Here is a 13,438-nt window from a genome sequence, read left to right as displayed (position 1 = left end):
CCTGGCCAACATGGTGAAACCCTGTCTCTACTAAAAATACAAAAAATTAGCTGGGCGTGGTAGCACACTCCTGTAGTCTCAGCTGCTCGGGAGGCTGAGGCAGGAAAATTGCTAGAACCCGGGAGGCAGAGGTTGCAGTGAGCCAAGATCTTGCCACTGCATTCCAGCCTGGGAGACAGGCAACAGAGCAAGACTCCATCTCAAAAAAATAAATAAATAAATATAAAGAAAGTTTAAGCTATTTAAACAGTGCAGCACACAAACCATCCTCCCACTGCAGGCACTGTTGTGAATGGTACACTCCACCTCCAGGGCAGGGTTCTTTAGTCTGGGGTCCAACATGATTTCTAAATCCTCTGTAGTTACCTACAATTTTGTGCATAAGTTATGTGCGGTAATCCCTCCATATCTTCGCAAGGGTACGTTTCAAAACCACTGTGAATAACTGAAGCCAAAGATAGTACTGAACCATCTATGCAGTATGTTTTTCCCTATATATACGTACTTATGATAAAGCTTAATTTATAAATTAGGCACAGTGAGAGGTTAACAACAAGAACTAATAATAAAATAGAACAATTACAACAATATAATGGCATAAAGGATATGTGAATGTGGTCTCTCTCTCTCAGAATATTTTATTATACTGACATGGGTAACCGAAACCATGAAATGTGAAATCACGGATAAAGGGGGACTGCTGTATCTACTTTCTTTTAGGGTGAGGATCCACAATTTTCACAGTTTTCAGATTTCCACAGGTCCTAAAAGAAGCACAGTTATAGGAACTGCGGCAGTCCCTGGTCCCATTTTAGCCCTGAGGGGAGTAGTGATAAAAGTCAAGGTTGGGGAAACCTGAAGGGAGATACAAAGTTCAAGGTCCAAGGCTCTCATATCTCGGTGTGGGCTTGGACATGTCTTGAGGTATTGGCCCTTTACTTCTCCCTGTTTTGTTTATGGAAAGGTGTGAGACTTGGGCTGGCTTTCTAGACACTGAGGAAAAGGGCATTCTTTCAGCAAGTGCCATGCCCTGTGTATCCTTGTGGGCCTCCTTGCTCTTAGTGTGGTTGGATGTGGTAGGACATAAAGAACCAAAATCAGGCTGTGGACCAAAAAGGGCCCAGAGACCAGCTTCATTGTGGTTTGGGCACAGTTCACAGAGACCAGGAGGTTTTACACAGAGCTTTACAGTGCGAATGCTCAGTTTCCCAGCTCCTCAGGAGGATGTTCAGGGATGGGTATTCAGGCCATCTCTGACTCTGTCTTAGACATTTTCAGAGGCTCAGCTAATACTAGTTCATGTTTCCTACTGCAATTTCTTTCTTTCTTTCTTTCTTTCTTTCTTTCTTTCTTTCTTTCTTTCTTTCTTTCTTTCTTTTCTTTCTTTTCTTTCTTTTCTTTCTTTTCTTTCTTTTCTTAAAAATGAGATGAACTCTTGCTCTGCCACCCAAGCTGTAATGCAGTGGTGTGATTTTGGCTAACTGCAATACCTGCCGGGTTCCAGTTCTCCTGCCTCAGCCTCCTGAGTAGCTGGGATTACAGGGATGGGCCACCACTCCCGGGTAATTCTTGTATTTTTAGTAGAGATGGGGTTTCACCATGTTGGCTAGGCTGGTCTCGAACTCCTAACCTCAAGTGATCCACCTGCCTCAGCCTCTCAAAGTTCTGGGATTACAGGCGTGAGCCACTGTGCCTGGCTTCTACTGCGATTTCTTAAGATGTTTTTATTAACCTTAATTCTAGCATCTGTTGATACTTATAATATTTTAGTGTTCTTACAAGAAGTTGAAACTATTCTAATTATAGCTCACTGCCCCTTATTATCATTTCTTAAAATTAATTTGAATGGAAAACTTGTGTCTCAGATATTTATGTATTTAATATCTCCCCAGTGCCATTTAATTTTTAAATTGCATATACATGTATATTTTTCAGTTTTGTGTAAGCCTTTACATTTACTTAAAGTTTTATATATTCATGGGGCAAAATGTTGCAAAATTGCCCACTGAATATATAAAACTTTTAAATTTAGATAAAATTTTAAACTACCAAATGCATACCTTTCTCTTGGTGTTGTGCTACATGATTTAATGTGTAGTGCTTCTTGAATTCTGTCACTGAGACCGTCTTCCCTGTTTGTTTCACTTTTAAAAATGATTTAATAAAATAGTATTTTTCAAGAAAAAAAATGGATACCATTTATTTTAGACTAAAGGCTTCTGAAATTTTTAATAAAATTATATTGGCCAGGTGTGGTGGCTCATGCCTGTAATCCCAGCACTTTGGGAGGCCGAGGCTGGGGGGATCACCTGAGGTCGGGAGTTTGGGACCAGCCTCACCAACATGGAGAAACCCCATCTCTACTAAAAATACAAAAAATTAGCCGGACATGGTGGCACATGCCTGTAATTCCAGCTACTCAGGAGGCTGAGACAGGAGAATAGCTTGAACCTGGGTTGCAGTGAGATCACACCATCGCACTCCAGCCTGGACAACAAGAGCGAAACTCTGTCTCAAAAAAAAAAAAAAAAAAAAAAAATTAAGGTTTCCTGTTTAGTGCAGATTTTATAAAATGAACATTTTGTTTTTGGAATTTTGTGATATAAGCATGTTTATATAAGGTAAATTCAATCAAATTAAAGAAATCTCTTCATTATTACTGTTATAACTATCTTTTCCAGTTAACAAAATACTTGGAGGTAACCTCAAACTGTAAAATGTTATCCACATGTTAGTAGCATCTTGTGAAAATCTGAATACATGTAGTTCGACTAAACTCTGCTTCCCTAGACTTTAATGTATTATATGTTATGTATTTCAGAAACTCCAGAAAGGAACTTAATGACATACGATTTGAGTTTACTCCAGGAAGAGGTAAGTTTTAATTGAAGTTATTATTTTATTGCCTCAAAGAGCATTGCAGAAATTGATTACAAGCATGTGGTTATAATCTGCTATTTAAAACTGCTTTGTTTAATAGTGAAGGAAGGAAGGAGAGATAGACAGAAGGAAGGACTTTTGATACTTCTAAGGATTCCAAACCAAACCACAGCTGACTACATGAATCTCAGTGACACATGCGGCACAGTATACATACCAATATAAGTTAGATATATTAGCTCAACCATGAAAATAAGTATTGCTATGGTAATGCAGGCCCTAAAGGAAATGATGGTGAATGTGATGAGAAGCATACCACAGTCCTAATGAGGGTTGAGCAGCAGTGGGATCATACAGAAAGGTAACATACTTTGCTTCTGTGATCTCAGCTCAGATTACGTGAAGTCTCTATTGGGGAGTGTTTACTAAAATTTTGAAAACTCTGAAGTACAAGAACTTTCTAGCTTGATAGCTGGTCCATCAGTAAACCCTTTGACCCCCTCTGCGGTTATTACCTGCAGGAAGACACAAACTCAGATGTCCACAGAAGCCAAAGTGAATGGTGAGCACTTCAGGAAACTGGAGGATTTCCTATCTTATTTCACCCATGTTCAGTAGTGTTGTTTTTTTTTTTTTTTTTTTTTTTTTTGAACAAAGGCCACCAGCCAAACAAAATATTCCTGGGCAATACTTGGCCATAGGCTTATTGGTCCCTGAATGCTAGTCTTCTGTAAATGCAAAGATTTCAGGATTCCTGGTATATTTGAATTAAACTAAAATATGAAGTATCTTTTAAAAATAAATGTACAGGCCAGGCACAGTGGCTCACACCTGTAATCCCAGCACTTTGAGAGGCTGAGGTGGGTGGATCACTTGAGGCTAGGAGTGTGAGATCAGCCTGGCCAACATGGTGAAACCCCATATCTACTAAAAATACAAAAACTAGCCGGGTGTGGTGGTGCACAGCTGTAGTCCCAGCTACTTGGGAGGCTGAGGCAAGAGAATCACTTGAACCTGGGAGGCAGAGAGTGCATTGAGTCAAGATTGTGCCACTGCGATCCAGCCTGGGTGACAGAGCGAGACTTTGTCTGAATAAATAAATGGACATAAAGCCCTGATGGATTTGCTAATTGATCTTTCTTTCTGGAGGTATCCATCTTTGACAATTTAGAGTTGGTTTATGAAGTTGTACAGCACCAGCTAGTGTTGTCAAAAAGCTATCTATTTTGTCATAATATAAAAATATTGACCAGGCCATGCTGTGATAAAATCTAGTAATTATGTAATAAATGCTTCAATTACAGCAAGTAGAAAGAACAGATTCTTATTTTAAGATTGTTTCTTTTCATCTGATTGTTTAAAATTGACTATGGCAATGAAAATCAATTTTAATTTTAAGAGGTAACAAAGAAGTGAATATGAGCTCAGGACTTTTGTGGGTAACATGGCCCTGTCAGCATTACTGGACCATGGGCACTGGCTTTGGCAGCCGCTTTTGCCGCATTTAGATTAACAGTCCCTGCTTCTGTTGCACAGACAGAACCCATGGCATTGTCTGCCTAATGACAGCCGGCCTTCACTGGGTGGCAGAGCACAGGCCCATTGTTAAAGGAAGTGATGTGCATATATCACTGCACCTCTGTGACTATTGATGCTGTCTGTATTCTAGACTTTGCTTACAGTAAATCTGTGTGCAGTTCACATGCATTATGCTTGTGCTGTATATACATGTGAATAAATATATATGGCACAAAATGTATAACGTAAAATATTCTCTTTCCTCACTTGAGGACAAGCCCTTTGTGTTTAGTGTGCCCCATGTGCTCTGGAAACCAGAAATTAATACATGAATATTTATCCTGTTTAGGCACCAGGGATGTTAAACAGCTTAAAGAAAAATAGATTACTAATGAAACATGAAATAAGTTATTTCACACTTCTGTTCTAAACTATTACTAGTATCTTACTTACATGCATACAAAATAATTGCCTAATGGCACGCACGCAGATATGGAATATTTCCCATTTGGATCAGCCAGCGGTACCTGTTTGCCATTTTGGTATGACTCATCTGGTGCCCAGGAGTCCTGAAAACAGAAGGACATGCTGTATGCTTTAATCATTTGGGAATGTCAATCATTTTGGTACTGTTTTAGTGCTATCCCTCAGTGCAGCTTTGATTATTTCATTTTTGGCTACATTCTGTGATTATAGCTCCTTACTTAAGTGTAAGATCTTACTGATACTTTAGAAGTGATGGGTAACACATCCAGATGCTTCAGCAGATGACCAATCAGTAGAAAGATAATGAATGACTACCTGCTATCTGCTCAGTGCCTACTAGGTGTTAGGCTCTTTAATTCAGTTCACTTATTTCCCTAAAGATTTGGGTAACATCCAGGAAGATGCCAGTTATGAGACTGAATGTTCTAGCAGCTTCAGAAAGCTAAATCATGTTCAGAGTAGAGCCTCTTATTATGCTACCCCAACTTCCATTATTATGGGATCATTTTATCATGAAGAGACTTTATAAGGTGTTTTTTTTTTATTTTTTTCTTTTCTTTTTTAAAAAATAGACAGGGTTTCACTCTGTCACCCTGACTGGAGTTCACTGCAGCCTCGACCTCCCAGGCTCAAGTGATCCTTCCACCCAGCCTCCCAAGTAGCTGGGACCAGAGGTACATGCCACCAGGCCCAGCTAATTTTTTACGCTTTGTAGAGATGGCGTCTCCCTATGTTGCCCAGACTGGTCTGTAACTCCTGGGCTCAAGCAGTCATCTTGCCTTGGCCTCCTAAAGTGCTGGAATTACAGATATGAGCCATTGCACTGGGCCAAGGTGTTTTTTGTACTGCTGGCAAAAAGGGCAAAGCCTAAGACAAGCTCATCTTACATGGAACTTTATAGTTTAGTAAGATTCCTATATATTTATTTGCCATTTACTTCATTTTATTCCATTTTATTATGACTTCATTATGAAATGGAATCAGTAAAATGGCAGAATACCACAGTTTCTCTGGAAGTATAAAGTGTAAGGTGTGTTTCAAATGATCTTTGGCTGCTGCATCATCATCATAGTTACCATTTATTGAGTATTTACTATGTGTCAGACACTGGGCAAGCTCTTTAAACCTCAAGAATTGTGAAACAGAAATGTACCTCCAGCTGCACACTCACATGTATATGCACATATGCAAACACATACACACACACACACACACACACACACACACACACACACACACCAGCCCACTTACATAGTCACCACATCTGAAGCACAGATGAAATAAGGAAATGCAGTTTATGGTTAGGGCAGCTTTTGGTGTCACAAACCGCAATTTCGTTTAGATGCTCATTTGATTTAGCAGCTGTACTTTCAGGTGCCCCCTGACTTTGGAAGACATTTCTGTCAAACCCCCGTCTAGAGTGTTACAGCCTGCTGAGCCAGTTTCTTCTTATCAAGCTACAATTCTAAATATTTGTGAGAATATCTGAAGTCCCTGGGGACCAAGTCAGCTCTCTTGAACCGAGTCAGCTCCCTTGTAAAAACGTGGGGGCTTATAACAGTTCTTCTGAGCAACTTGCAATTTATCAATTTCCCTTTACAAAGCCTTCAGATAGAAGATTAGTGTGATCATGTTCATTCGTAACCTTTCAATTAAGTAATTCCAGCTGTATTCACTTGCCGCAGCCTCTTTAGTCCCATCCTTATGAGATTGCGAACTCCTGTCACTTATCATTGAGAAAGTACGGTATTTTATTCAACCACATTTTTCTAAGACAATGTATCTGTTGCTATCAAATGATCAGTGTCATGTTAAAGGAGTTTCTTAATAGCATACATTTAAATTGCTCATCTTAATAGTCCAACAAGCTCATAGGCTGTTTGTACAAAATACAAGGTTATATCAGATGCTACCCATTCAACCTTTGCTGTAATTCACTCCATAGCTACTAATGATAAAAAAGGATTGATGATGGTAGGTGGGATTAACCTTGGCAGGAAAGAAAAGCAGTGTCATAGGGAACAGTTATAACTTCTGGAGGTGCATTTGAAGATTAATTCAGATAGTAGCCAGAGGGCACAAGTTTTTTAGTTCGCCAAAAATAGAAAAAATAATTTTGCATAACTTCTGTTGAATAAATAGCAAGATGCAAATGGCACGTGGCAAAATGTATTTCATGTTGCTTCTGATTTTCTCCTGATAGAGTCTGAATTGTTGAATTAAAACTCATGGGCGATTTTAGTAAATGAAAAATATATATTTTACATTGTACTGGGTTGTTGATTTTTATGTTATGGTTACTAATACATATTCATTTCACATTTGGACAGATACAGCAGATGGTGTATCTCAGGAGCTCTTCTCTGCTGGCTTGGTGGATGGTCACGATGTAGTTATAGGTAAATTGTTTTTTAGTATGCACTGTCATTTTGTTGGTATATAAAATGGAAATGTGTTTGGAAGCAAAAGTGTTCATTAAGGAATAATTCACTCTGAATATTTGAAGAATTCTTCTTGAATTCTTATCTTTTATGTAGAAGTATATTTAAGAATCATATTTGGACGGGCGCCATGACTCATGCCTATAATCCCAGCACTTTGGGAGGCCAAGGTGGGTGGACCACCTGAGGTCAGGAGTTAGAGGCCAGCATGGCCTATTTGGTGAAACCCTGCCTCTACTAAAAATACAAAATTAACCAGGCATGGGTGGTGTACGCCCGTAATCTCAACTACTCGAGAAGCTGAGGCAGGAGAATCGCTTGAACCTGGGAGGCTGAGGTTGCAGTGAGCCGAGATCACGCCATTGCACAACAAAAGTGAAACTACGGCTCAAAAAAAAAAAATCATATTTAATTTTCTTTTTTTCAAAAGCTCTTAATGTAATCCTGTCTCATATATCTGGACATGATTTATCCAATGAGGAGCCTCATTTATTGGAAATATAACAAAGAACTTAGAAGACCCAAAAGTCCATGATGTAACAAAAATAAGATGCTATCAATTCTGTGCACTAAAGCATGGGAACCTCTGAGACCCTTACTCAGAGTTTCTATATTCTCTTTTTGGACACAGTTCTAATAAACTTAGAATTCGTTTTTTCAGCCCTCAGCAATATTCATTATAAAATCTCAGGTTTGGATGGGAACTTAAAGATCATTCAGGCCGGTTCTTTCACTGTATAGATAAGGAAATGAATTCCTTAAGAGGTTCAGTGGTGTGTCTAGAACCATGCAGCTGGGTTGTGGCAGAAGAATTTCACTTTGAAACTGTGGGTCTTTCTACCTCCTTTAGAATCATAAGATAGCTGCACGGAGATAGGGGAGCCTGCTCAACATAGGCCTGCTGATGGGAGCAAGCAACCACCCATAGACCTCCTGACAAAGCAAAGGAGGCAGAAAAGCTCTAAGAGGCAGACATAGCCATCTGAGAAAATGTGTAGCCTGGTTCCACCTAGGGTGAGGATGAATAGCTCCATGCTCTTCAGCAAATTCTGACTTTATAGAGATTTTATGATGTATTACTGTATAATCATAATAACCCTAACTAATCAAGATTAGTTAGCATATTCATAATTATGTTAATTATTAATTATATTAACTCTAATAATGTATTACTTAGGGGAATATATATTATGATAATGCCTTATTAAAATATTCAAATCAAAACTGATTTTTGAAATGACATGCTCCCCTTAAATGATATGGTTTATGTTTGGTTTTGGTTTTGTTTTTTTTGAGACAGGGTCTCACTCTGTCACCCAGGCTGGAGTGCAGTGGTGTAATCTCGGCCCACTGCAACCTCCGCCTCCCGTGTCCAAGCAATTCTCGTGCCTCAGCCTCCCAAATAGCTTGGGACTACAGACGCATGCCACCGTGCCTGGCTAATTTTTGTATTTTTAGTAGAGACAGGGTTTTGCCATGTTGGCCAGGCTGGTTTCGAACTCCTGACCTCAAGTGATCCGCCTGCCTTGGCCTCCCAGAGTGCTGGGATTACAGGCGTGAGCCACCACTCCCAGCCCCTTAAATGATATGTTTTAATTTAAAAAATAACTTATTCAAAATAAGTCCTTCCCCAATAATGCTAGAGTATATGACTGAGAGGGAGTTTAAGGTAGATACACACACCTATCAGAATAATTTGTTCCTAGTAACTTTGGAATGTAAATCATTACAAAGTGAATTATTTTATGTAAATAAGAGTAATTGAGTTTATAGTGGGAGATTAGAATTCTGACTAAAGACATAATATCCAGTATGTTATTTACATACAAATGATATATCATAAATGCAGATACAAAGATACCTTTATAATTAGAAAAAAACAGATTTTTTCCTACTGATTATACATTAACTCTACACATTGATTTCACAATGAAGCTCCAACTCCTTTGCCAAGTGGCTCCATACATGAGGGGACACAGACATATTTTAAAGGAAAGTGACTTAACGTGCATTTATGTGGAGTGAGTTGTATTCCCTTATATATCTTGTCTTTCACATTTTCCTTTACAATCTTGTGAGATTTAAGGCCAGCTAAGTTCTCGCCTAAATTTTCTAATCAAATGTGAGAGGGAAGCTGAGAAAAAAGATTGATTCAACTTTGGGGTCTACTTTAAATTCTGTCTAAGAATTCATTATGTTCACCTACCAATTACCAATTCCTTGATGAAGATGAACACTCTCCTTCATTAGAAAACATAAGTATACACTTTTGTGTCTTAGTTTACCAGAAGAAATAGAACAGTTAATTAATGGCTAGATCAGGAGACCCTGCAAACCTTGAAGAGAGCTATGGTCCATATGCTAAGCATCCAGAATAGAAAATTAATCAGCAAGTGAAAATAATAATCAAAAACTTCTTTGAAACACCTACTAATGTCTCCTATTGGGCAAGAAGCCAAGGATCAGATTGTTCTTTTATTGGAGTTGATCCTGGCAGGTGGCTAGGAACACAGAAAATAAGAGAGCTTGACGGAAAGGCATTAGGTCACATCTTCTTTTAAGCATAGTCCTTGCTTCAGACCTACAGTCAAGTTTAATGCACTTCTTTTTTTGCCCCAGGCTCAGCTAAAGTTAGGAAGGTTTTATTGTTGTTGTTGTTGAATTTTTAAAAGGAGGAAATTAAGGCAGACTTCATGTACAACTTATTGAGTGTATTTTAAATACAATATATAACCATAAAGCTTTTCTTTTTCTATGCTTTAGTTAATTATTCTTCCAAAAACTCTTCAGCTTGCCTTTTTTCCCCTTCTTGGAGCTAAATTATTTCTATTTAGAGAGTGTTGGAGTAAGAACAGGCATATCTAACTCTTTGATATAGTAGCACTTAAAAATGCCTTACATGGACATCACACTTAAGTGTCTACAGACAATGTTTATGTATTTCATTTGATCATCACATCAATTCTATAAGGTAAAGAGGACAGGTTGTTTTAATCACTATGTTGTAGACTGAAAACTGAGGTCCGAAGAAGTATCTAGACTGTTGCAACTGGTAATGTTCCTTGCGCTTGGGTCTTGTTGACTCCCCAATGTTGACACTTTGCATATAATTTATACCTTCACCCTTAAAAAGTGGATCCAGGTAATTTTAAATGTTGGTGGTTCTTGTGTCCCCTGGGAGAAAAGTAGCTTTTCCTTGTTTGTTTTTCCATGGACCAGTGGATGTTTTCTATTTTAATTGCTGATTATTTGACAAACTAATGTATTTGATCTTGTTCCCTCTAACCAATCCTAGCAAATCTCTACTCCCTCCCTCCTCATCTATTTCCCTCTTTACTAGATATGTCCCACCAGCATATGAATATGTTTTTATTTCTCTTATCTTCAGAAAGCCCTGTCTTTACCCCACCTCCCATTACAGCTATTTCTGTCCAACCCCTTAACAGCTAAACTTATCAAAGACAATTGCCCTGGCTTTGATTCCTTTCTTATCACTGTCTCTTAAATCCACCTCAGTCAGACTTTTGACCTTCCTACTCCACTCAAATTGTTCTTTTCAAAGCTGTACCTGGGGAAAACACACCTGCAAAAAGGAGTGGCAGATGCACAGGTAGGCGTGGCTGGAGTGAGGGGAGAAAGAAGGAAGGTAAAGGACACGTGGTCTGTGAATGGCTGCCATGTTCCTAAACCTGAGGCTCATCCTCAGTCCTTATCATGCTTGACCTATTGGCAGTATTGGGCGTAGTTGACAATGCCCTTCTCCATGATAAGCTTTTTCACTTGGTTTTAAGTCTCCACCCTCTCCTAGTTCTCCCATCTTACTGGTATTTCCTTCTCAGTCTTTTTTGTTGGTTCCTCCTCATCTCTCTAACCTATAAATCTTGATGTGTCCAAGGACCCTTTCCTTAGATCTCTTCTCTTTCTCTACTTGCTGCTTTGCTGATCTTATCAGGTTTCGTGGTATTAAATACCTTCCACTCTTTAACTCCCAAATTTATATCTTTGATCCAGACTTTTATTTTGAATTCCAGACTTATATTCAGCTCCCCTTTTAGCGTCTTCACTTGGAAATGTAATAGACATCCAAGATTTAATCCACAGCTTCAAAATCCAGCCCCTGGTGTTTCTTCCCAGCCTGCCCCTCCAGGAATCTTAGACTCTTCATAGGCATCATCTCCACCTTTCCAGGTGCTCAGGCCAAAACCCTGGGCATTGTCCTTGACTTTTCTTTCTCTCATACTTCACATCCAACTCATCTGAATGTGCCCAGGATCCTGCCTTTGCTCACCATCTCACATCCCATCACGTTTCAAGCCCCTCTCAACTCCCAGTTGAGTTCTTGTATTCATCCCTTTGCTGCCATTCCAGCTTCTGTACTTGCCTCCCTTCAGCCTGTCCTCATCTCAACAGCCAGAGATCCAGGTAAAGTAAATCAGATGCAAAAGGCCACATATGGTGTGATTCTTTATATGAAATGTCCAGAGTAGGCAAATCCATGGAGTCAGAAAGCAGAAGAGTGGTTGCCAGGGGCTGGCAATGAAGGGGGCAGGGGAGTGACTACTAAGTATGGGGTTTCTTTTTGGGGTGATGAAAATGTTCTGGAATTAGAAGTAGTAATGGCTGCACAACCTTGTGACTTTACTAAAAACCACTGAATCGTGCATTTTAAAGGGGCAAACTTTATAATATGTGACTTTTAGTTCGATTTTTTAAAAGTAAGCCAGATTGTGTTCATAGTTCAATCAAAACTCTGCAGTGGTTCTCCACCCACAATCACCATGGCTTCCAGTCCTCTGCACTGTGTCCCCTCTCACTTCTCAGATGTCTCTTCTCCTGCTCTTCCCCTTGCTCACCCCACCCCAGCCACCCCGGCTGTTGAACTTGCTCTTCTTCCAGGACACTCCTTCTTTAGGGCCATATATGCCCACCCCCTGGTGCTTAAATATTACCTCACAAAATGGTCTTGAGCAGCCTCATTAAAATCGCACACCATCCCCAACTCTCTACCCTCTTTCTTATTTTGTTATTCTACCTAATCTCTCCCCATTCAATAGCCTGTATGTTTCATTTATTTATTTTGTCAGCTATATAGGACTTCCCCTTGAGCATCAGTTTTTTAAGGCCAGGATTTTTAATCTGTTTTGTTAATTGCCACATTCCCAGTGCCCCAAACTGCATTTCACATAGTAGGCCCTCCATAAACATTTGTTAGAGATAAACAAATCCCATTTTGATATATATAGATATATCGTAACATTTACTTTAGAAACAAAGGATACTTTGAGATATAGGATTCTAGTGTTTTAAGAATTTTGCTTTCAAGATTGCAAAATTCAAAGTGTTTGCAAATATGAAATAAGTTCACCTGAGGAAAGCTGTGTAAAGAAAGAGTCCAGTTTATATAGAGGTTTGAATGATTTCTTACATGTGTATTTTTTCTGCTTCTATAATATAAAATAGCTAACATTTAAATAGATTAAAAATCTGTTTCTTTCCCATCAGCATTTTCTTTTGAATTGGAGTAAATGCTTACAGCATTGTGAAAGGCTGAAAAAGCAATAGCATATGTTATGGAGCAGTGAATGTTATCAGTTTTACTAGAATATGGCAAACACAGGTTACAAAAAGTCTTCAATACCTAGCTTCAGGGTAGCCTGCTTTTAGTGTGCCGACCTTCGCGAATCAGAATCTGGATTGAAGAAGGGCCAGTATAGTGACATGAAGTGATTGCTTTCGAGCAGAAGCAGAGCAGTGCAGAAATGAAATGTGCTGTTTGTAGACTGAAATCATAAACCCACTTGACTTGTGCTTAAACTCGGCACTACCTTAGGCAAGAAACAGGAAACATTTTTAGGCTTTGTGTAAATAGCCGTTGATAAGATTGGCAAGGCCTCGCGGGTGGGTGTTGGTTTAAAAAAGTTTGCAAGATGAAAAACTAGAGGACATGCATGCATAAATTTGCTTATCTTGCCTGGCTGGGTTGGCTGACAAATGGAAAGAGACCAAATCTGAGTCCCTATTCTAGTTGTTTCAGAGGATTCCCAAGGATGAGTGATAGTGAGACAGCAGAGAAACTCCTTGTTTCCTTTGCTTTCTGGTGAAAAAACAGCCGG

At 39.2% G+C, this 13,438-nt stretch overlaps 1 protein-coding gene across 6 annotated transcripts in view; it reads left to right on the top strand.

Moving 5' to 3' along the window:
* Positions 1–13,438, top strand: part of STK39 (serine/threonine kinase 39) — a 293,574-nt gene that overhangs the window by 227,679 nt on the left and 52,457 nt on the right. For all 6 annotated transcript variants that reach the window (NM_001410961.1, NM_013233.3, XM_047443944.1 and 3 more), the window contains 2 exons: positions 2,822–2,874; positions 7,215–7,283. In NM_001410961.1, the coding sequence (NP_001397890.1) occupies positions 2,822–2,874; positions 7,215–7,283 (122 nt within the window). The remainder of the gene's footprint in view (positions 1–2,821; positions 2,875–7,214; positions 7,284–13,438) is intronic.

Source organism: Homo sapiens, chromosome 2 (assembly GCF_000001405.40).
Source record: "Homo sapiens chromosome 2, GRCh38.p14 Primary Assembly".
Lineage (NCBI taxonomy): Eukaryota > Metazoa > Chordata > Mammalia > Primates > Hominidae > Homo > Homo sapiens.
This window is presented reverse-complemented; position numbering and strand designations above follow the sequence as displayed.